Source organism: Homo sapiens, chromosome 3 (genome assembly GCF_000001405.40).
Source record: "Homo sapiens chromosome 3, GRCh38.p14 Primary Assembly".
Lineage (NCBI taxonomy): Eukaryota > Metazoa > Chordata > Mammalia > Primates > Hominidae > Homo > Homo sapiens.
In genome coordinates, this window is record NC_000003.12 from 100,035,973 (window position 1) to 100,061,660 (window position 25,688).

General features: G+C 38.7%; 2 protein-coding genes and 1 long non-coding RNA gene across 6 annotated transcripts in view, besides 1 other annotated feature; 2 read left to right on the forward strand and 1 right to left on the reverse strand.

Annotated features, from left to right (window-relative positions):
* Window positions 1–5,421, forward strand: part of LOC105374010 (uncharacterized) — a 223,532-nt gene extending 218,111 nt beyond the window's left edge. Inside the window, exon 5 of the long non-coding RNA NR_189163.1 lies at window positions 3,803–5,421. This is a non-coding gene — a long non-coding RNA (uncharacterized LOC105374010). The remainder of the gene's footprint in view (window positions 1–3,802) is intronic.
* The window catches only part of CMSS1 (cms1 ribosomal small subunit homolog), a 363,871-nt gene that overhangs the window by 218,111 nt on the left and 120,072 nt on the right, over window positions 1–25,688 (forward strand). The window lies entirely within an intron of this gene.
* Window positions 1–25,688, reverse strand: part of FILIP1L (filamin A interacting protein 1 like) — a 285,691-nt gene that overhangs the window by 207,162 nt on the left and 52,841 nt on the right. The gene's annotated exons all lie outside the window — the stretch shown is intronic.
* Window positions 11,787–11,876: an enhancer, noted in NCBI's record as "active region_20150". NCBI's record gives its function as "activates an Ori minimal core promoter by ATAC-STARR-seq in GM12878 lymphoblastoid cells {active_cell/tissue: GM12878}" and the evidence as "EXISTENCE:reporter gene assay evidence [ECO:0000049][PMID:35858748]".

Consider the following 25,688-nt stretch of genomic DNA (forward strand, 5'->3'; position numbering starts at 1 on the left):
ATCTCATCAGATTCTTCTGGGATAATAATGTTTACTAGTAGTCAGTGTAATTATAAGTCCATTGTAACATAGAACCCAAAACTAAAAACCCCTGTACCATCTCTATACATTGCATAAACTTAATATAAAAGGAATTATGGTATAGTAGTTCCTAAATCCACTTTTAGGAAGGTCTTCTAAGGCATGAAAAATTTCCTAGCTCTGTCAACTAAAAAGGTCTAGAATCAATGACACCTTGTAGCAATGAACACATGCAACACATAAAGCTTCTACATCTCATTTCCCACTAAGAGGAACAAAGCCTTCTTGGAGAAGTAGCTGACTGCAGGGCTGTTGGAGGAAAAAAAAGATGAGCCTGGAACATCTTTTCATGCCACGATGTTAGGAAGTCTCAAAAAATGATGAGGACATGTCAAAAGGACACCAGAGTTGGCTTGAAAGGACTGCCACTGGCCTAATCTGAAACAACCTGAAGAGCGAAATAATTATAAAATGGAAGGTGACCCATTGAATAAAATAAGAATTCATGAGTTTGTTCATGGTGATAATAGGTAGATACTACATGTGTAAGAAAGAAAAGTTATTCTTTACAGTAGAATGCCTACTAATAAATGTAGAAGAAATATAGATTAGAAAACCACCATTTTGCAGCCATCATAGTTGCAAATAGTTAAGAAGTATCAATGGCTGCTGAAACAATTTTTTAAAAGTTCAGTGAGGAACAGGATATTTACATATCTCAAAGAATTTTCCACAAATTACTTATTAATAATCATGGGAAATAGTAGTTTTGGAGTAGAGAAGCCTGGTAGTGACACTTTAACCAAGTGATCAAAGTTACCATCATCAATAGTAGAACAAATTGACATCTTGTGCTTCTTGATATTACGCAGTGAGAAAGATACGTTATTTCTGTGGTATTCCTGCCCCAAATATGCATAATTAATTTAATATTAAGGAAATATCAGACAAACCTAAACTAAAAGATACTCTTCAAAAATGTTAGTATCCTGAAACACATAAATAAAGCTGAGCCATTTCAGATTAAAAGAAACCAAAGAGACATAAAAACTAAATGTGTGGGTTCTTTCATTTGGATCCTGGATCGGGGGAGGAAATGCAAACAGAACAGTATTGGGACAATTGGTAAAATTTGAATAAAATGTGGGGATGAAACATAATGTTGTGCTTATATACATTTCCTGATTTTGATCATTGTGGAGTAAGTGAATTTCTTTATTCTTAGGAAAATACATTGTAATATTTAGAGGCAAAGGGACATGATGTCTGCAACTTACTCAGATGGTTTAGAAAAACAAATGTGTGTATATGTAGAAAGAGAATAAAATGCAAAAGTGGTAAAAATTTTAATAACTGGTGAATATGGGTGAAGGGTAAAAGATTTTTTGTAGTATTCTTGCAAATTTTAAGTTTGAAGTTATTTTAAAATTTAACAAAAGATTAAAACAAAGCAAACAGACACACACACACACACGCACATTGTTATCTTCACTTTAAATAAAGCCAGCGCAACATATAGAAATCTGAAAATCATACCCTAAGATAAACTGAGGAATACAAAATTTTTGTCTCCCAACAAAGTTGCTACAGAAATCCTTTTAGCAATCTTTATGTTCAAATCATAAAATGTATAAATAACATAGAAATAGTGTCCCATATCCCCTTCTGTAAATTGAGGCACACCTACATTTGTTTTAGCTCTGTCCTGATAAGTTTCTCTATGCATCTTGCTTGCTTTGGGAAGCTCATTGCATAAAGCTGTGTATAAGTGAATGTTTAAATGTTTTTGAGGAAAATGACAGTGATGATAACTTGACCTCCAGTACAGATTAAGACCTTTAAAAAACTAAAGCTCTACTAATTTCTTCCTCACAATTACCTGAGTAGCTTTACAGCCACACTAACTGGCTCTGAATCGCTTAGGTTTTCCTTTTTAATCGCTTTTCTTTTTTTTTTTTTTTTTGGGGGGGGAGGGAACAGAGTCTCAAATCTCGCTCTGTCGCCCAGGTGGAGTGCAGTGGCACAATCTCGGCTCACTGCAACCTCTGCCTCCTGGGTTCAAGCAATTCTCCTTGCCTCAGCCTCCCGAGTAGCTGGGATTACAGGCACCTGCCACCATGTCCAGCTAATTTTTGTATTTTTAGTAGAGACAGAGTTTCACCATACTGGCCAGGCTGGTCTTGAACTCCTGACTTCAGGTGATCCAGCTGCCCTGGCCTCCCAAAGTGCTGTGATTACAGGCGTGAGCCACCACGCCCGGCCTCTCTTTTCTTCTCATTAAAATATAACTCTTACAGAAATAATAAGAAAAGTAATGAAGTAATGAGTCTATTATTTTGAGCCCATCCAAAAAAAATTGCTTAACTGGCAACAGATAGAAAAATAAGATATTGAATTATCCAAAAGCTGATTAGCCAAATTATTTCTTTTTTCACCATTTTTTTGCTTATAGAGAATTCGAGTAGGGAGCGGAAACAGGCAATACTACTCAGTCAGTTGTAGTTTCTTATTGACTGTTCGGTTTAATTTCAAAATTAACAAACATTGTAATTGCAAAAGATTGGAAATAACCTAAATGTACTTTTGTAGGGACTGGAAGTAAATAGGATTATTCATTTATCCAATACTATGCTTCCATAACAAAAACTGGAAAGCTATTTATGGGTTTTGTTTGTTTCTTTCTTTTTAAAGGACACGATCTCAGTCCATGTCCTACATAGTAGCCTCAAACTCCTGGGCTCAAGCGATCCTCCCACCTCAGCCTCCCAAGTAGCTGAGATTACAGGTGCCAAGCCACGGTGCCCAGCTGCTCCTTATGTACTGATACAGCAGGATCTCCCAGATGTATTGTTAAGTCCAAAAGGCACAGTACAGAACATATTGTCTATATCGTATGCTACCTTTTGCATGTAATAAAAAGAAGAAAGAATGAACGTACATGTTTGTCTGCATATGTATAAAACGTCTTTGAAAAATGCACACACAATATTGCTTGCCTAAGGAAATAAGAATTTTGTGTTGGGAGACAATAATTTTGCATTAATTCAGCAATAACAGATGTTGGAAAAACTCCTAAATTTAATGCTTATAAAAAGAATAGGAAATTATGCTTTCACCAGTGTTGTATTGGTATTGAAATTATCATCATCTAATAATAGTTCATCAAACACAGAGACATTCCCAGACCTTTCACTGTAGTGGTGAAAACCATTATGCATTTTATCTAATTCAGTTAGTCTGCTTTACTTATTAACTTGACCTCAAAAAACTGAGCAACCTTTTCTAAGTGTTCTTGATCACAGTAGTACAGCCTATGAAGTACATAAGAAGTACAGCCAAGACTCACCTGCTACAGGAATATCAAAGAGCAGATGAAATATAATCTATGATTATATTTCACAGTATGTAGTATAAAGATTTCACAGTATAAAGATTTCAGTGGAGTTCTACAAAAATACCAACTTGGTTTAATACTTAATGGAAAGGAAAACAGTAAAATTTATTTCAAATTAGATAGTGTAAGATTCAGTCTTATAATATGCGGGATACCAGGAGTACCTTGGAAAAGCCAGATACCAAATAAGATCTAGGAAATTTTTAGGAATCCAGAAGAATCTAGAAAAGCATTGTCCCTAGAGTTGATATTTCAGTATATCACCAAGTAATTTTTCATCCAAGATCTCAGTGCTTCCCTTAAATTAGATATTAAATGGCATGTGGTAATTCCCCCCAGTGGTTTTCTTCACAGTTAACGACTTTCTTCTTTTTTTTTTTTTTTGAGATGGAGTCTTGTTCTGTTGCCCAGGCTGGAGTGCAGTGGCATGATCTCGGCTCACTGCAACCTCCACCTCCCAGGTTCACACCATTCTCCTGCCTCAGCCTCCCGAGTAGCTGGGACTACAGACGCCCGCCACCATGCCCGGCTAATTTTTTGTATTTTTAGTAGAGATGGGGTTTCACTGTGTTAGCCAGGATGGTCTCGATCTCTTGACCTCATCATCCGCCCACCTTGGCCTTCCAAAATGCTGGGATTACAGGCATGAGCCACCGTGCCTGGCCTCATAGTTAACAACTTTCTTGATCTATCTACCTGCATTTTATAATTGGATACATGAATCAATCCAAGCTGTCTGAATATTTTTTTTTCTTCCTGCACCCACAAAAGCCAGTGAGAAGTAGGAACCTAAGACAATCTCTGGAACAGGTAACCATCTCTTACCACTTACAACATAAGATTAAACAAAGAGTTCTCTCTTGTGGCTTATTTGCATATTTCATTTGCATAATTCTCATCTAACTCCCTCTTTTAAAAAAAGTATTAATTATTCAAATAAATACTATTTATCCAGGCCATAAACAGTATATTAAAGTTCTCTCCCCGAGAATCATTTGTATAGTTCCAGATAATAGCATTCCATTTTAATATAGATGAGTACACAGATGTGACCGTGGTTTTAGAAACAGTTTAGGTAGCATCAAGAAACATCTGCACATTTTCCCAGCAGCCTGAGTAACTAGTAGTGATTTGTACAGACTTCTCTGCATCTGCTTTTTCCCCCCTTCCTTTTTTCAGCACATCTAGATGATTAATAGACTGAACAGGCCCTTATATATGCATTCTGACAGCCTTTAGGACGGTCTTGGTTGACAATACACACATAAGCCAGTGTTGTTATCATGAAACACTTCATTTGAATGACTATTACAGGCTGAACAGGATGTCCTATGCCAAGAGGTTGTGACATTTTGAGAGGGTGGTGCTGGGAGCCATGTGGGACTCTTTTCCCATCACAGCCAAGTTGACATTTTCTCAGGTTGTAGGATCATTAGGGCTGCAAAGGGAGAAACTTTGTCAGTGGCTGGGTAGATGTCCCTTGAGCCTGGATTATGCATTTGAAAAAATGGTTTCTTTGCCTTAGGGAAGAGAGTCTCATTTTAAAAAGAAAAAGGTTTTTATAACGAGTTCATGTATTCCACTATGAATTTTGCTGAAAAATCTGTCCTGAAGTATGTCTTTGCTGCCAAATCCCACGCTTTACAGTTAACCAAAGTTGACTCTGTATGACCTGTTACATTTTCCTTAGACAGTTGGATGTGATCACAGAAGGGTGACTGCCAAAGTTTTATTTCAGCTCAGATATAGCTAAATGCAAGAAATCACTTCCTGACACCTTTCTTCTGCCTGCCCCACCCTAAATCACCATTTTTCAAACAAGCTATGGAATCTACAAAATGGCCTACCTGTGTTCCAAGTTAATTTTGAGAATGGCTTTTTATGGCTGGTTTGTAATCTCTTTAGAAAAGCAAAATTATGATGGAAACTCTATGACATCCTAAGCTGTAAGCACTTGAAGATGAATGTAACTTCAGGTCTGTGAAGCTAAATATTTACCTTCCACATGATTTACTGCGTCTTTGTTCCTTTCCACACTGAGCTTTTTCTTTATGTGCATCCCTTCATCTCCAAGCTACTTTTTAGTAGCCCTGTTATATCAGTGTTTTGTGATGTTACAAAAAAGCAAAGAATGTGAGGTCAAATTTTCCATTACACACTTCAACAGGAATGCCAGGGAACTTAGCCAAACTAAGGCTACAAAAAAAATAAAAATAAAAATTACAGGAAAGATGATTCATTAATCAACAATTGCCTTACCAAGAAAATAGAATTACTTGTATGTATTTGGTTTGGGGAAGGGGGATAAGTGCAGATATCCTGGCTATGAGTGAAATGGAGGTATTTTATGTCTATGTAGCATGGTTTTAGACCTACCAGAGATCTTTTAAACAGTAAAATTCAGGAGAAAGGATAACTCATGTTGTGCCTTGATTTATCTCACCTTTTTCTTCTTTCAACATGAAAGTATATCACATGCTGACCCCAACTACAATTTGATTTAAAAAAATAATGACAGCTGAAAACTAGGATAGAAAGGCACAGGCTGCACCTCAGGAACAGTGAGAACAGGGACCATTGCCATTCCTTCCTCTTTCTTCAGCTATATGATCTGAGTCCCTTTTTATTTCATATATGCCCCCTTCTGCTCCCCTTTCTCTTTATTTTGCCATAAGCTCTGGATCGTAATCCATCCCTAAAACATTGTCATATTAATAGAAATTCTGGAATTTGACCTTTAAATGTAGTCATTATTACATATTAAAGGATCTACAAAGGGCAAAAATTGTGGCAGTAGATGAAAACAATAGCCACTGAAATTTTTTAAAGCCCACAAGCTTGTAAGATTCCTCTTAAACAAACAGAATGATCCAGTCACAGAGCTTAGTGCTGTAAATGTCAATATAAACTTGATTTTTTTTTGTATTCTAATAAGAAGACCAGCCAGTAACAAAAAAACATTGGCTCTGTGACCAGCCAATACCAGATACAGTGAAATCTGTTATCTGATGTTTCGTCAGCTAGCCTGTGAGCACCATCATGTAATAAAATTCTCTAAACTGTGATTCACGGTGCTACAAGATCTTTGTGCACCTTTTGACTAATCAGAGACAAATCATATCAGGCTCTTGTATTATTTTATTACCAAGTGTATTTTATTTTAATTCTTTGGAAATTGGTAATCCATGTATGGTTCAGACATTGTTAACCAGAGTACATAATTAGAACAATTCCAACCATGCCAGATGATACTGTATTTACTGAAGAATTTTATTGCCTTTTATGGAGAACATGAGGGAGGAATAGAGAACAGGTTTTTTTTCTTTTCTTTTGCCACATAGCTGATAACCCAGTTGCTATAACCATTTCTTCCACACAAAGGGACAACAACATGAGAAATACACGTTTTAAAGTTCCTAACAATCGAGTACTTCTTACGGGAAGCTGGGACAGTTCAAGAAAAAAATGGATTGAAGGAGAGGAATAGAGCCAAAGTTCCCAGACCTTGACAACTAGGGCAAATGTAACAAGTCCACATTCATCATGGAAAAATGTAAAGTCCTACATGTTTGTGGAAGAAAATGACTGCATTCGCAGAACAAGAGGGATAAAGGGCTAACATAGCCTGTGCTGGTCACAGCCTTCTTTGCTCATCTCTCTTTACCTCAATGTGAAGATCAGTGACAGACCCCCTGAGCAGGGAATGTTTTTTGAATTATAATGATGGAGACAAGTATCCTGTGTCTCAAATTGACAAGAAGTACTCCCCAGTCCTCAAAGCTCAGAGAGGCTTTCTTCAGGCATATCCAGTATTTCATTCTTTACTGTGTTGTGCCTTATCTGCTCTCTGTACATACAAGTAAGGAAAAGAGAAAATATATGCAGAAAATCATGTCCAGTAAGTTTTATTCCCCTTTGAAAGATTATATTTTGTCTTTTGAAAGTCTCTCTGTCTCTGTTCTTTTCAGCTATATTAAATATTTGTTTCCTTCGTTCTTGAATCTCATTTTCTTGAGGCTTATAGCAGCTCAGCAGTCTCTAAGGTCTCTTTTCCCTCATCCATACTCTCACTTCTCTATTTTTGACTACTTTTGCAGGCCAGTAGGTATTTATTATGTCTCATTTGCTGTGGGAGACAGGCTCCACCCCATCCTACCATACTCCCAGACTTTATTCCTTTTAACCATCTAACTAGCCATCCATTTGAGTCAGTTAGGACATGGAGACTTGAGAAATTTACATCCCTGGAAGGTGATTATGATATGTTGAATTTATTTTTTAAAACTTTTTTTACAAAATGACAAAAAATTGTGTATATTTAGGGGATACAATGTGATATTTTAATCTCTGTATACATTATAGAAAGAATCAATCAAGCTAGTTAACATATCCATCACCTCACCAACTTATTTTATTGTGACAAGAACATTAAAAATCTATCCTTTTAGCAATTTTGAAATATGCAGTATGTTATTTTGAATAACTGTAGTCATTATGCAGTGCAATAGAGATCAGCTTTTTAGATTCTACATAGAAATGAGATCATACATACTTGTCTTTCTGTGCCTAGCTTATTTCACTTAGCATGATGTCCTCCAGTTCCATCCACGTTGTTGGAAGGACAGAATTTCCTTCTGTTTGAAGGCTAGCTAGTAGTTCATTGGGTGTATATACCATATTTCTATGACAAACTCTGTCCTGCTTTGCAAGATTTTAAAAGGGAATGTGCTTTAGAACAAGACACATTGAGATTTGGGTTCAAATCCTGTGACCTTGAGCCAGTTACTTGCCTCGTTTATTCATTTAACAAATTTTGATTGAGCGTCTTCTATGTGCCAGGCATTGTGATGGGCACAAGCGATGCAGTTGTTTACAAGATTGACATGGTCTTTGCCCTAATGAAGTTTATATTCTAGTTAGGGAAACCAGTGAAAAATAAATATTTAAATAAGTATTTACATCATAGTATAAAGAAGTAACACAGGGGTAATCTGTCAAGGGGGGCAGTGAAAACTATTTTTGAAACAATAGGTAAGCTGAGGCTCAAAGAATGAGTAGGAGTTAGCCAAACAGAGTATACAAGAGCATCACAGGCTAAAGGACAGCTTGCTCCAAGAACCCAAGTCAGGAAGGAACTTGAGACAAAAGAGGAACTGAAAAAAGTCAAGCTAGACTAGAGCCCAGTGAAAGAGAGGGAAGTAGAAAGATACAGAGGTAGTGAAGCCAGATTATACAGGGCCTTATAGGCACTGGCAAGAATCTTGGTCTTTTCTAAGAGCAATGAGTAACCATTGAAAGATTTTTTTAATGAGGTAAAAACTTGATTTGTATTTAAATCACTCTGATTATTGTACCTCATCACACAGTAGATGAGAGAAGGAAACCAATGTGAAAAAGGCTGGTGCCATTTTTCAGGTGAGAGATGATGGTGGCAGTCAATGGAGTGGTTAATGGCTCCAAAACAGATTTAGGAGGTAGAGCTGACAGGACTAGTGGCTCTCTGCTTTGGTGACATTGCAGAATAGTAGTGTCTCTGATGACTTCCATTTTTCTGATATGAGGTGCTGTTTCCTGAAGTTAAGAACATTTAGAGGAGAGTCTAGCCTGGGCGTAGAGAGGACTAGATCCTAAGCTCAGTTTGGAACATGTTTGATCTGAGATGCTTGTGATATATCCAAGGGGAGATGGTATGCAGGTAATTGTAAAAACAGATCTGGCGCTCACAAGAGATGTAGGCTAGAAATATAAATTGGATAACAGTTTATAGATTATATTTAAAGCTGCGAATATGACCTCTCGAAGCCTTAGTTGTTGCATCTATAACTTGGAAGTAATGATCTAGCTGTGCAAAGAGGTTGAAAGGGATGCGTACAGCACATAGCACAGTATCTAGCTCATAGTAAGCACTCAATATATGGTAATTGCCATTATTACTATGTCTAGGAAAATCTCACAGCCTTATTCTCTGAGTTAGCACTAATTGACAAAGAGGAGAGTGGAAAAGAGTGAATAAAGGAATGAACATAAATCTGTGAAAATATGTGTATAAAATCGAGATAAAACCATTAGCTTTCATTGTGCTGCTGTGTTAGAATTTTTTTTTTGTAATTTTTAATTCCCAGGCATCCCTCCTCTCGCAAACACCTCCTATAATTCTCCCCCTGAAAAATCAGGGGACTTCATTTATCTTAAATGGGACATTTGGACCCAAATGATTTCTGAGGCTGCCCCCAGGTTCTTCATCTTGGTGGGTTCTCATTATTGCTGCTGCAGTGACTGATTGATTTGTTGAGAAATATCTGTCTAAATATTCTTCTGGTAACATTATTTTTAGGAAGGCAAAGCCTTTACATTTCCAGACGGCAGCTTTGCTGTGAATGTGGGGAAACCACAGAAAGCTGTAACACATTGCACATGTCAGCAAGGCCTTCTGGGCTTCTTGGCATTCCTAATGATGATAATGATCCCACTTGGTGGAGTCTGACCCTCCCTGCAGCTGGTGTCCTTTCTGCGCAGGGATGAGGTCACTGGGGAAGGGGGAGGAGGCGGAGCTGGGGTGGATGAGAGAAGGGAAGGGGAAGAAGCTGTCACATCTGCATTCTTGGTGGAAAAATGGAAACATGTTTGCCACATGCTTGCTTTGTTTGTTTATTTTTTAAGGAAAGGGTATGGAGAGGCAAGAGAATAGTGAGGAATTGTAACATGATGACTGCTTGGTTTTCCCCCAAGGCTTCACAGCTAAATAGCTGTATTCTCAATAACAGGCTCATCAAATTTCCCAGGGCACTGATAACTCTATGAATCTAATCCTGAATACTTGAAACTGATCAGGGCCAGGATATTCCAGCGTTTGGATCCAGTAACTTCTTTAGAGTTGTGAAAATTCCTAATTCTAGATAGTCCACTCCTCCTTATGCCTCAGACATGTCTTAAAAAGGGAAATTCAGAATTTGCAGAATTATTTTTATATTTGGCAATGTAGTTAAAAGTATCAGGTTGTTCACCTATTTCTCAAAGTTGTCACTGAAAGTAAACAACCTTTTTTTTTTTTTAAGTTTACTAGTAGTAGCCTAACTGGTAGATCATAGTTTTATCTCTAGAGCTTGTTGTATATACAGAGATTATAAATCTAGAATTCCCCAACTCCCCCCAGGATTTGGGATTGTTGTTACAATTGGTTGTTGTTGATGTTTTTGTGAGGAGAGAGGTTAGCAAAAGAGGGGTCCTGTTGTCATTACAGGGAATGACCTGGCCTGGGCAAAATCACAACCAACCACTTGGCCATCTCAGCTCCAGGTAATAGAAATAAGTCAGCGCTGACAGAAGTGAGAAAAATACTCAAAATGCTCTCAAGATGGTTTTGAACCCTTCAAACCTGATAAGGCCAGGTCTGATTAGCCTTTGTATCTTCAATACCTCAGCCAGGGCCTAATAGATAGTAAGTGCTCAGTGAGTGGTGAGTGGCCAAGTAACCCAGTTTTCCTATTTTCCATGGTTCAGGACTACTGTTGGTAGGCAGAACAAATGACCATGAGTAATTAGGTAGAGGGAAAAAATATTTCCTCCTAAATCATGGAGAAAGAGGCTGTTATTTAAGTAAATATAATAATTGACTATCAACAGTGCTCCCGACTTGAGTTTTCAAGATAAAATGTAAAGGGTATTGTCCTCAGGTTTTGAAGGTCCAAAACTGCTAAATGTTTAGCCATTGAAGTTTTCTAACCTAAATTTCCTTGTTGGTAAAATGGGTATAATACTTTCTCTGCCTACCTTTCTAGGGTTATTTTCAGGATTAAATGCTTTTAAGGAAGTGAAACTAGTAAAAACTATCGGAGGGAAGTGTTGTTATTTTCTTCTTTTGAGAACAATATATCTTTAAACATTTTTAGAAGAAAAAAAGGTTTTGAATTCCTTGAAGAAAAGGTGCTTCCAAAGCATATTTATTGATGCTATTATTGTAAATCCCTCTTTAAGCTTCATGCATTTAAAAATTAATGACAACTCTCCTCTTCCTTTCTGGAAAGCTTTTATGACTTAACTCCAAATTCTATGTGTTTAAAAAAACTAAAGTATCATGTCCTCCTTAAAGAATACCATTATTATTCATAACCTCTGAAACCAGCGAGGGTCATAAAGCTACTGACTGCGAATGATTAAGTGGCCACAAATAAAACACTGGTATTACCACATGTAAATTCTTTCCCTGCAGTTTATGCCTCCGCAAACAGTGATTCAACTGCAGGTGTCTGTCAAGAGACAGTAGAGTTTTGTCCTTCTGGAAGCCTCACTGTATGTGAAGTCAAGAAACAATGCCCCTGCCACTGTCTAGCTATAGCCTCAATCAAATCATTTCACCTCTCTTAGCCTCTGCTTCCTCTTTTAACTGACAGGGCATTCAGTGGCTGTGCGTCTGGGCCTCACTGCTCTCCCCAGAAGGCATTTGAAAAAAAAAAGGAAGGCATTTTTGGTTGTCAAAATGACAGGGTGGGCGAAAAATGATAGGATGGAGGTAGCTTCTGGCACTTAGTAGGCAAATTTTCTATGGTGAGTTGAGCAGACTCATGAAAGAACGAATTGTCCCTCCTATAGTGTAAATATACCCTCCTAAGAAACACTGGGCCATAGCTTGTGAAAGTGAAAGGGTTTAAATTAGTAGTAAGGGACTGTCCCAGGCAAGCTGGCATATAGGGGCCAAACAGCCACAATCCAAGTCCACTTGTGCTTGCATTGTCTTCCTGCATTCTGGCCCTGTTTGCCCCACAAATGACCAGGTCCCAAGCTCTGCTGAACAGCCCTCAGGGAAGGGGACAGATAGGTCCAGACCAAATCCTTCCACTGTCTTTATTTTACTAGGAAAACTAGCAATAGACTTAAAGTTAACTCACTTGTTTATCCCTTAATTTGGTTATGCTTTAGTCCCAGAGGCCCCTCATTTCTCCCCTTTCCAGACCTTCAGAGCCTTCGGCACTGCCAGCCCTCAAGTATGGCAGCTGCTTGAAGCATTTGCTTGGGGTGAGTTGGGGAAAGAGGAGGAAGAGTAGAGCCAGCTCTTCCCTGCAGCTGTGGCTAACCGAGGCAAGCTGTGACACGGAGCTCACTCCATCTCAGTCAGAGCCCACCCTGAAGCCATATCTGTGGGTGCAAAGTTATTGTGACACAACCCACCACACAGTGTCAGGGGAGAAACTGAGCATGGTAATTGAGGTGCCAGGTGATTCTTGCACCACTTTTTTGGACTGCCATTTAGAGAGGGAAAATAAAAGCCAAATCAGGAATCATTTCCACTCTGTTAACATCTCACTAAAGGAAGCAATCAAGTCCAGGTGGGTTTTATGTTTCTCAGCCCCTGTACATGGACAAAGACTGGGATTCCAGATTTTCCTAACTAGCCCTAGGTTTTTCTCCTAGGACATTTTCTTTCTGCTTCTAAAATTGTATTTTACTCTTTAAAAAAAAATCTGTTGTGCAGAATTATATAAGGTTGATATGATGGCCTAGACTGATTGCTTAAATATGGACTTGGACAGTTATGGAAAAGCACTTTTGTTTGTGTCATGGAATTAAAGTTACCACACACACAATTGTCTATTTTCAAACCTAATGGATTACATCTTATATGAATAAAAGAGTATAGCAAACAAAAGGGCATAAAATTTTTATGCCAGAAACAAAGTCGATGTCTGAATTTAACTGGAAAAAAACTGTAGAAATTTGTGTCTGACAATTGCAAACAGTTCTCTTTCCTTGTTTTTTCTTTTACCTTCTCTCCTTACTATTTGAAGTTATACCTTTGGGAACACATATCTTCTCTACATTATAGAAACGTGGCAATAAATCATGGTAACAAATAAACTGTTCTCTTGTTTCATTTATCATCTGTTTTTGAGGTTTGAGCATACTCAACAAAGATTAGAGGTTAGACTATTGCTCTTCTAGCTTGTTATGAAACCCTAGGGTCTTACCGAACTTACCAAAGTCGATGAAGGATTAATTTGGGGAGAGCTTTTTAAAAAATCACTCAGCATTATAAGGGAGGTTAATATGGCACTAGAGTGTCATATTTTTAAGAGGGAGTCTTCTTTTTATTGATTGATCTATTTATACCTCACTTCCAAAACATATGCAGTACAGAAAATTAAAATAATTCATTGAGGGAATAAAAGTGATTAGAATATAAAGCCAGAGATAATAGTGAGAAACAGAAATAAGTTGACCCTTGAACAACATGGTTTTGAACTCTGTCGACTTCTGCCATTCCTGAGACAGCAAGAGCAACCCTTCTTCCTCCTCCTTCTCAGCCTACTTGAAGAATAATGAATAGTAAATATATTTTCTTAACAAATAGTAAATGTACTTTCTCTTCCTTATGATTGTCTTCTAACATTTTCTTTTCTCTAGCTCACTTTATTGTAAGACTACTGTTTATAATATATATACAACATACAAAATACTTGTTAATTGACTTTTTATTTTATCAATAAGGCTTCTGGTCAACAGTAAGCTACTAGTAGTTAAGTTTGGGGGGAGTCAAAAGTTATATGCGATTTTCAACTGCACAGAGGGTCAGTGACCCTAACTTCTGAGTTGTTCAAAGGACCATATACTGTGTGGTTCTTTACGGTTATTAGAAGTTAATCACTATTTAGCTCTAAGCTTCCTAGTGGCCTAAGTGAAAAGGAACATGCTTTTTTAATCACACAGACTCACCTGTGGAATGAATCTATTAAGGGCATCATGGGGTAGTGTTCGGGGGCAAATTTTTAAAATTTGTTTATTTACCAGCATTTCTGGTAGATCAGTTTCATAGATCAATAAATAAAAAGAAGAATCCTTCTTAAAAATATGACACTGTGGTGCTGTATTAACCTCCCTTATAACTCTGAGTGATTTTTAAATGTGCCCTCTAATGAGTCAGGAACTTACACAGAGAGGGAGTTTGGGCAATATCAGAGAAAGCCATATCTTTTTTAGATTTATGTGAAATGCTCAGTATGAAAATTTTAAATCTCTTAAAATTGATTATAAAATGTTTTAATGCTAAAATAGAATGCTTATCTGATTATGGTAAGATCCAAATTAGATCATAGTCATTTTCTGTTTTTTTAGAGGCATCTCTGTAAATTCCCACAATTTGTTTGTTTATTTGTTTATTTGTTTGTTTTGAGACAGAGTCTCGCTCTATTGCCCAGGCTGGAGTGCAGTGGTACAATCTCTGCTCACTGCAACCTCCATCTCCCAGGTTCAAGCGATTCTCCTGCCTCAGCCTCCAAGTAGCTGGGATTACAGGTGTGCGCCACCTTGCCTGGCTAATTTTGTATTTTTAGTACAGATGGGGTTTCACCATGTTGGCCAGGCTGGTCTCGAACTCCTGACCTCAGGTGATCCACCCACCTTGACCTCCCAAAGTGCTGGGATTACAGGCATGAACCACCGCACCCAGCCTCCCCCAGGTTTTGTTAAATTAGCGGCTTTAACTTTGGAAGATAACTCTGTGAGACACATTCTTTGGGAGCATGGAAGTGGCTCCTTGTGGAAGAGTCTTCAAGAATTTGATCCAAAAGTCAGCTCTATAATGCCCTCTACCAAACTATTTTCACATGTTTTAGGTAGCAGTTTCTTCTTGCAAACAATCTTATACCCACCTTCAATAGAGAAATCACATAAAAGTGATATTTTATTAGTATAAATTTATTTTTAAACCATCATTTGAATAATATATACTTATTATAAAGACAGTTGTTAAGATCAGTGAAACCCTTTCCATAAGTCAGAAATTTAAATGGATCACAATTCTTCTCTGTGAGTCCAGCTTCTTATTTTTTCCGATATTCTGTTTTGTTACAGGTTTTTAAAACTCATTTGGACACCCACCTCAATATATGCTGTGCAATTAGAATAATCCAGAAGACTGAAAGAGTAGTAAATAATTTTATTTCAAAATTTAATAATATAAACCAATGGCTTATATTTCTTTTTATATATATATATTTTAAGTTTTAGGGTACATGTGCACAATGTGCAGGTTAGTTACATATGTATACATGTGCCATGTTGGTGTGCTGCACTCATTAACTCGTCATTTAACATTAGGTATATCTCCTAATGCTAACCCTCCCCCCTCCCCCCACCCCACAACAGGCCCCGGTGTGTGATGTTCCCCTTCCTATGTCCATGTGTTCTCATTGTTCATTTCCCACCTATGAGTGAGAACATGCAGTGTTTGGTTTTTTGTCCTTGCGATAGTTTGCTGAGAATGATGGTTTTCAGCTTCATCCATGTCCCTACAAAGGACATGAACTCATCCTTTTTATGGCTGCATAGTATTCCATGGTGTACATGTGCCACATTTTCTTAATCTAGTCGATCATTGTTGGACATTTGGCTTGGTTCCAAGTCTTTGCTATTGTGAATAGTGCCAATGGCTTATATTTCTAAAAACAAACATTTTATTATATATATTTTTTATAGTATAAGTATATAATTTAATGTAATATATTTTATATGTCATATATTTATTAATATGTGTTATTAAAATATATGTTTATAATATGAAGTATATTATATAAAATATTTTATGTATTTATACATAAATATAAATGTGATAAATATAAAATATTTCAAGCAAGAAACACATGCAATTTACCAACTCACCCTTAAATGATCTATATTATTATGTCATATGTGTTATTTGTCACATGTTATTTAGGCTACTAATGGGCATAATTTGTGATCTGAGAGTTCAGTTCCTTTAGAACTGACTAGGACCCCATGATGCACACTTATAATAGGCAAATGAGTTCAAGCTTTTCTTGACATGTAATTGACTATGGCATATGTGGGCTATACTAATACACTCCATTGGAGTTTTGCATGAGCAGACATGGCACAGTCCAGAAACGAATAAAAAACTAATGCAGAGCAATAACCTTCTTATTGAATGGCACATTTATGAGAGATTCACTTCTCTGCACCAAAATTCCAGGGGGAACTTTTGTTCCAAGGTCTGAGGGGTAGTAGTGGTGGTGATGGTAGTGGTGTATCCGTGTGCATGTCCTATTAGAACTGAGTGCACCCAGTTGGAGGATGGGTCTTATGGCACCATTTGTGTTATTATTGTGGTTTTATTAACTGAACCTCTAAGTGAAACTGATGAAGTCTGTCCTCCATTTTCTTGGGCATACATTAGCAATTCAATGCTAGTATAGGAAAGAGGGCCTGAGACATGAAGATAGCTCAGGAGCAAGTATTAACACTGAGAATCCATGGGTAAGTTAATGCAATGTTTCTTTCTATAACCACATTTTAAGATAAGTATATTCTAAAATTTTACAAAGGCAAGGTGGAAGGTACCTTCCCCAACCTCATGTAAACCAGTTGTTTGAGTATATACTGTATAAGGTAAACTTTCTGGATATGATACAAGATAAAGTTATAAATAAATTCATATTTGATCTTGTTTTTAAATATGTAAATATCCTTAAGTGCCTTGTTATTATTTTCTAGGATTTGTTTTTTCACAGGAATTTTTAAAACCTGTAATATATAATTTCCCCTAAATAAGATGAAATTTAGTTCATCCCTGGGATAAATGCTCTGTATATCACCTGTGGAGTTGTTCGCCTGCTCTCCCTTTGGTTACCAGTCATTATTTCTTATTTCTATTCTCTCCTGAAACAAGGGTGCTCCTTGTTGACAGTATGCTTCCTGTGCCTTTATCTCTTAAACCCTATATATTGCTCCAATTTGGGGCATAGTTGTAAGTCATTGTATAATTCACCATAGCAAGCCTTCTGCCCCAGAAGTGTCTTGAAAAGACACAGTTTCCTAGGACTGCCATAACAGATTACCACAAATTGGGTGATTTATAATAACAAGAATATATACTCTCACAGTTCTAGAGGCTAGAAGTTTGAAATCAAAGTGTCAGCAGGGCTATGCTTCCTTCAAAGGCCGTAGGGAAGAATACTTTCTTGCTTTTTGTAGCTTCTGGTGCTTGCCAACAGTCCTTGGCATTCCTTGGCTTGTGGCAGCATAACTCCCAAATCTGCCGCTGTCTTTACATAGTTGTCTTCCCTCGTTGTGTCTGTATCCAAATTTCTGTCTTCTCATGAGGACACCAGTCACTGGATTGGGGCCTACCCTAATCCAGTTTGACCTCATCTTAACTTGATTACGTCAGCAAACACCCTATTTCCAAATATAGTCACATTCACAGGTTTTGCTAGGTGCATAAATTTGGGGGAGTGGGGAGAATGGGTATTCAACCTGGTACAGCCAGTAAGAATCTTACTACATTCTCTCATTTCTCTGAGCATTTAGGGGTCTACACTTGAGCATTCTGTTTGTTTTCACTGTGTTATCTTTCTTACCTGGAAATCTATCCAAAGCCACAGAAACCCTAACTAATCAATTCTTTAGTGACTGCCACAACACATGCTGAGTCTGTATTATTTTATAAAACTGCCCCCTGGGGCCAGATTTTGTTCTCCATTATTCATATGCAGCTTCCTACTAGAATCAAAGTAAATTGCATCCAAGTGTTTCCAAGCATTGACTCTGGCCCACACTTCTTCCCAAATTCTATACTTTGTTCTTTGTATATCTGGACATTCGGCTTACTTAAAAGTATGTAATATTCTCCCCAAGGCTTTGAAGAGCTACATTATTTCCAAATCTTTTACCACTTGAGCTTCCCTAGTATTGTAAAAGCTGGCCAAGGGTCAAACATTTGTGTGCTTTCAAGATAGCATGTAGTGTTTAAATCCCTTCCTTAACCAAAGTTGCCATTGTACTGTGAAGGAGGTTCAGAGCAAAGGTCACAAACTAACCGAGACATCACATTCCCCCTTCCCTCTTGATATGTTCTCTTTGACTTGCTTGATGGTTTTTTGAAAGAACATGAGTTAGTTGCTAGTAATAGCAAATTTCACAAAGAAATTGAGATATCTGGCTTTTCTTGAAAGCTCAGATCTGGAAAACCTAGGCCTACATTCTTGTAGCTGGCCAGAGCTGGGGAGTGGCTGTCCCGTCAAGTGGAGCACGTACTCTTGCCTGCACCATGAGCCAGTCTGACCTGCTTCGTTCATTATATTATGTTATGTTTTGTTATGTTATGTTATGTTATGTTATGTTATGTTATGTTATGTTATGTTATGTCATGTTATGTTGTTACCTACCTGCCCCTGTTGGCATTTGAACTATCCACTCCTGGCCCAGGACTTGGGAATACAACGTGAATAATCTTGCAGATGTGGCTCAAAGAAACCATGCTGGACAACTGGATCAAAGGAGGGCAGATCACTGATTTCCCTTCCCTCTGGGCTGCACTGTCTTTTAGCAGTTCCCACCAATACCCTCAAGCCCTGGGATGAGATGCACAACTTCTATCACAATGCCTCTGGATCCCGTAACCTTGCCCCCTCTCTCTCACCATCACTGGTGTCACAGTTGAGTTCAGATGCAAAAACTGAAATGTTCAGAAGTATGAGGTCATTTCAAATTTAGTCTCATGTTATTCTGTTAAGCTTGGATTTCATTAATCACAACATAGTTCCTTCCAGAAACTTCTGAATGCCCTTTCCCAGCTTGCAGAGCCTCTTTTGGGCCTTCTTGCTGATCATCTCTGCTTCCGTGCTTTACCCTTTACCTCCTGGCCCATAGTATTTTGTTGTCAGGTCACAGTTGTCTTTCTGGAAGTCTCCTGCCTCAGACTCTTACCAAAGTCCTCGTGGTCTGCCCTTCAGAACATTCTCAGCAGCTCCTATCCCAATTCAGGTCTCCCAGTTCTCCTCGTCCTACTCTTATCAATTTCTTCGTGTATGCATAGGATTTCCAGTACAAGAGTATCATCTCAAGCACTGAGGATCCTGAACAATGTCTCTCTTGCTTTCCTCAGTATCTTTAGCATTACTGAACACCTCTTAGTTCTGTTATCCCCAACATCACTGGCACACTCAGTCCATCCAGGCGATAGAAAATCAAGGTGACTGTATGATCCACGTGGCCATATGCTCTTCTCGGAAATTCCTAGGACATGTTATCACACTGTGACAATCACTGTCTAATGCTAGAAAAAAACTGATTTGTCTCTCGTTAAGTATTTGTAAATACTAAAGACTGTCTTTACCTTTATTTTAGAGTTTATAAGAGTAGCCTGTGTTCATTGAATGTGGAAAATATACAAAGATGCAAAGATAAAAATATAAATTACCCATTGCTATACCACCTAGATTAAAAACCACAGCCAGCATTTTGATATGTGCATTTTCACATTTATATTTTAATCTCTTCCTTTCCCTGTTCTTTAGTAGTCAAACATTCTTGAGAGGAGAGTAATTTTTGTGATTATCCCAGTAATTTAGAAAAGAGAGATAGGCTAGAGAAAAATCTAGCCTTAAATTTCAGAAATTTTTTAATATTGTACACATTCTTTCTTGTTTATATTAAATTACTCTTCCACAATATGAAGGGTAGATATGAAGTTTTTCATAACTACCTTCAAGGAGTCCAAAGATTATCTGTATAGTACCCTCATTTTTCTGATAGGATAGATTGTATTATAGATAACACTTGTGTATGGAGTCCAAGCTTAATCTTAGGCATTCAGAGAAGGATAGCCTAGTTGATCTGGTTGGGGAAATAAGACACAGGTAAAAGAAGATTCATATTTGCTCAAAGTAGCATAAAAGTGCAAGCTATGGTATACCAAGGTCTTAAGCTGGGGCCTGAAGGGAAGGGAAGGCAGGGAGTAGAGAAGAAAGCTACATAGGTGCATTTTACATTACAAAAATGGTAGGGTACCAAATATTATTACCAGCTGAGGGTGTGGCAAGACCCTGGCTAGGAACCAAGTCTGACTCTCAGCTCTGGGATTTCCCCACAACATTTCCAGCTGATAAATTGACAAGTCTCCAATGCATCCTTCCATAAATATTGTTACATTTTCCAGACCTTACATCTACTTTTTAAATTTCTATGGGAGGCTTTTTAGAAACTTACAGCCTAGAAATACTTATTTTAAACAAAAGTGATTTCATATTAAAATAAATAAATTTCAGTGACTGAATGCTTACTACCTGGTGATACAAAGATAACAAAAGTTTATAATCTGCTCTTGTTGAGCTAGAGATATCATTAACATTTTAGCCTCCAGGTCAGAAATGCTGCTAGCCCTTACTGGCTTTATCTGCTTGTGATTAACAAGTTTGTCATAATCTAATTAACACAGCTAATGTTGAGTTTCTAGGCAGCTGGAAACAATAAATGTCTTATTGCTTTGGACTGCCACACAACCAGGTAGCAGCTCTAGACCATTAAAAAAAAAAAAATGGGGCCGGGCGCGGTGGCTCACGCCTGTAATCCCAGCCCTTTGGGAGGCCAAGGCAGGCCGGGCGGATCACGAGGTCAGGAGATCGAGACCATCCTGGCTAACACAGTGAAACCCCGTCTCTACTAAAAATACAAAAAATTAGCCGGGTGTGATGGCAGGCGCCTGTAGTCCCAGCTACTCGGGAGGCTGAGGCAGGAGAATGGCATGAACCTGGGAGGCGGAGCTTGCAGTGAGCCGAGATCGCACCACTGCACTCCAGCCTGGGCAACAGAGCGAGACTCTGTCTCAAAAAAAAAAGAATTGGGCAAGTGATTTTTCCCACAACTTTGGGGTAGCTCTGTAAGAGAACTAATGATTGGCAGGCTCAGGGCAGGAGATTTTAATGGAAAGTCCTGGACCTGCAGTCAGAGAAGCTCTGGTGCTGGCAGAGCCAGGATTTAGCTGTATAATCTTTGCCTGCCACGTGGCTTCTCTGCCCCTCCAGTGGACTAGGTGACTAAAGACCCGTCCCGTTCTAATATTCTGTGACTATTCTCCAAGAGTCTAATCTTTCTGCAGGAAACCAGGAAAGCAGTGAGATGTTACTTTAAGGAAAGATGACATGATCTCTAGGCCAAGCTTCTTGCCCGGCCTTAGGCATGTCAGTTTCAAATACTCATTATATCATCAAGGAAAAAGGCCAATAAAAGCCCAGACCTTTCAAGCTATAGAATCTGCTTATAAATTGGAATGGACAGAGTTGCTGCGGTTTCTCCAAACTCTGAAACATTACATGTTCTTGGGTAACACTAAAATGCATTTTGTGTTCTGCGTCTTATTAAAGTTCTCGTGATATGTCTCTGTAAAAGTCTGCTCCCCTCCTGCAAACAGGGAATGTCCCCTTGGTTATCTGTTACCAGTTAGTTCAGTTGGTTGAAATCCAATGCTTTGGGATCAGGCCCCATATGGGACAGTTGGTTTCATGCAGAGAAGCCCCCTGCTTGCCCGGGTGTTTCATAAATGCATGCATTTGGTCGCAGAAGGTATGGATGTGAGCGTGGCTGGCTCAGCATAACCTACCCCTGCTACTGGAAAAATCACTCAAACCCTAGGTTTTTTTAACAGGGTCACTGCCCTCATCCTTGTTTAGAATTAACAACTGTGAATACAATGCCGGTCCAACTTCTATGTATTCCTCAAAGATCCTGATGACCTTTTACCCAACTAACTGACTGTCTAAATCTTTCGACATCGTGAGAGTCTGATGAAAATAGCTAGTTATTAGAGGCTGACTCTCTGTGAGGTACTATGCTAAGTGTTTGTGTCCATTCTCCCACTCATGCCTCAAAGTAATCCCAGGCAATATGCACAATTTTTTATTTTCTTTTTGCAGTTGAGGAAACTGGCTGGGGAAGTTACCTAGCTTTCCTAGGGCTCCACATTTACTGACTGGCAGAACCAAGACTGAGACTCCTATCTGTCTGACTCTAGAGCCTATGCTATTACTCTCTATACCCTACTGCCTCTCTCAGGCAGAAAATTAAGAGGCATCTGAATACTGTTCTATGTTCAAGGCACGGAACAGAGTTGGAGATTTTAGAAACTGTGATAAGCTCCTACTTACAGAATGAAACTTTGTACAATCAGATGCTTATAAACGGGTATGATTTTCCATTGTCATTCTTTGGAATGTAAAATGAGATCACCTCTGAAGGCAGGCAGAGAAAAGTTGACACATAGTTAAGTGAGGCACAAGTCTGTTCTTGGGTGCTTCTACAAGCTTCCCATTGATGACCTCCTCTCTGTCCCGGCAGCTTGAGATACTCACATCCCCAATCTAAAGCTTTGCTCAGCTTTTGCTCCTCCAACTTTCATTTCAAACACAAATCCCCTTGGTGGACAAAGAGAAAAGTTTCTCTCCGCTTTTTTTCTCCTCTAAATTCCCAAGCACCTCACCACAAACTGACTTCATTTTACACCCTCAAACCCAGAAGCATCAACAGACAACAGGGCCCATTTTTCCTGACTGTCCCACTCAGAGGCTTTTCAGTAGAAGGAGGACGCTGTATAACCTCCTTTGTTAGAACACTGAGTTAAGCCATGACTTCTCTTCTGGAGCCACAGTTTCATATGTGAAGTTTAAAATAAAGTTTAGTAGTTGAGTGATGTGTTTAGTATTCTAGAACCTTTTTCTTTCTGATCTTCTAACTTAACTTGCATTTGAGAGCAAAGGGGCAGTTTGGACAGCATGGAGAAGGCATTTGGTGCAAGTTCAGGAAAAGGTCCTTGGTAACATCCATCTCTTCCAGTGTTTTTCTTTTTAGATTTTGTAGATAGACTTGAAATAAAGGCTACCTTTAGGGTAATTTCTCTTTTACCTAGTCAGCACTACAAAGTAAAGCTTAAAGTTTCATGGTTTTCCTTAAAAGAAAGAACAGATTGACTAACTTCACTGTTGATACAGAAACATATACTTGGAGTTGAAGAGCTTTGTTAGATACTCTAGGTTGTTTCTGTCCAGTTTCTGGGAAGCTATCCTTTAAAAAATACAATGCCTCTTAATTTTCTTTTTCCTTAAAGGGCTTTATAAATCTCTGGCATTTGAGGCTATAATGGGACGAGCCTTCCATGTGACATCTTTTTTGAGACAATGAAAAATGCTTCACACCTGTGTCCTTGTCCGTGGCTTGCTTTTAGCCTCATCTCCGTGATCATCACTGCTTTCCCCTGCTTCTTCACTCTAGCCTTGCTTCCTTTCATTCAGGAAGCATTTTTTTTTAGCACCTGTTATTAAATAATGGTGTGCTAGGCCCTGAGGAGGTGAGGAGATGAAGACAAAGTTTCTATCCTCCAAGGGTAGAGGGTGTAGTTCAGAGGTTGAAGATTCAAACAGCGTTAGGAGCCAGGAAGGTTTGTGAGCCAGAAGGCGGGGGCCAAGTGCAGGACAGAGTAGTGACTGGGACTGTACTGTAATGAAAAGGACCCATCATGCCTGAAGAAGTCAGTCATTACACAACTCCAGCTGACTGGAACCATCCATATGTGCCGGCCTAGAATTGTCAGAGCTTCCAGTTTGTCAAGAGAAATCAGAAATCCAGATTTCTGTGTGTATGTATCATCTCCTGATTTTTAAAAAACTCTGGCAACTAATTCATATTCTTCAAAAACATCATGTAGGCCAAACAAAACATGCATGTGGACTGGATTCAACCTATGAGCCTCCAGTCTGGGGAGTTCTGGCCTCGTTAGTGAGGTAAATCACATATGTATGAAATGATTAATTTAAAATGTGACCCATATGACTAGGGGTGGCACAGGCAGTTTTCCTGCTGGAGGAGGACGGTTGGGGAAATGGGGGCGGGGGGAAGATGGGCTCCAGGTACATGTGCCCTCAGCTGTGCCGGGTATGGTAAAGGGATTTGAGGAAACTGGAGGTGTGTGTCACATGGTGGGTGGGCTACGGTGCCAGACTGAAGAGGTTGAGATTTACTTTCTATGTCATGAGGAGCCCCTAAAGATTTTTTTGATCTACTATTTTAGAAAATAAAATCTACTGGGAGGTAAAGGAGTGAAGTACCATGCAAGGAGAAACCATGAGGAGACTCTTGCCTTAGTACTTTAACTGTTTCCCACTCCACCTCCTCTTCCATCCCTTTATACCACATCCAAAAACCATCTTCCTGATGCCCTTCTAAGAGAAGGCAGCTCCTTGGCCTAGCAAGGTAGCTTTAAAGTATGCCAATGCCCTAAACGAAAACAAGAAAATGAAATCAGAGCACATTAGAATAGCATCTTCACCCAAGAAAAAAAAAATACATAAAAATGCTTAGCTACCACCTCTCACTGAGTAAAAACCACCACTTAAGAAACAAATAGGGGCTCGGCGCAGTGGCTCACACCTGTAATCCCAGCACTTTGGGAGGCTGAAGCAGACAGATACCTTGAGCTCACAAATTTGAGACCAGCCTGGGCAATATAGTGAAACCCCATCTCCACAAAAAATAGAAAAACACAAGATTTAGCCAGGCACAGGGTGTGTGCCTGTAGTCCCAGCTACTCTGGAAGCTGAGGTGGGAGGATAACGAGCGTGGGAGGCGGAGGTTGCACTAAGCCAAGATCACACACCACTGCACTCCATCCTGGGCAATAGAGCCAGATCTTGTCTCGAAAAAATAAAAATAAAAAACAAATAGGGCATCTCTTTGAGCCATACAGATCTATCAATGGCCTGCATGGCTTTGAAATGGAAGTGCAAGTTGCAGAACCACATCCTCATTAACCGCACGAGGTGATGAGTTGCAGCATAGCAATAGCCACACACAAGAAACCACACCCTTTGCCCCAAGATTTATTAGCAGGGCTTTCTCTCTTAAGTGGCCAATAGATGTGCACATAGAAGTTGACCTTTACTTCTAATCAAGGCAGAAAGGCACTGTTAAAATTTAAAAAAAAAAAAAATTTTAAAAGGAAGGAAGGGTACAATTTTTAGATTTTAAAAACTATACTTCTTCTAAATAAACCTAAAATACCAAAAACAAGTGATCCCTCTGTACACACTGAGTATGTTTGTGTAATGAGAGGCTCCTTATCTCTGGACAGCCAGATGGGGTGAGTCCAAGTTGGGGCCAAGCACATGACATTCGAAAATCTTCACAGGTGGTTGAGGACCCTGCACAGTTTTGCTTAGAGATTAAAACTTAAATGTTTGGCTGATGTAGGCAATTCTTGGTTATTCCAGGGTGTTAATTTTCCCAGGCCCTTGTTTTACTTTCTTTCTCCTCCTACCCACATTTTCACTATTTTATTTCTTATTAATACCTCCTGCAGAGAATGAAAAGAAGAAGAGAAAGAAGATGGAACTTTTTTAAAAAATTGCTTTACCTCATAATAAGAGCAGTACTAATAATTACAACACCATTAACAACCACTAGCATTTCTTGGACTTTTATTGCATTCTAGGTGCTA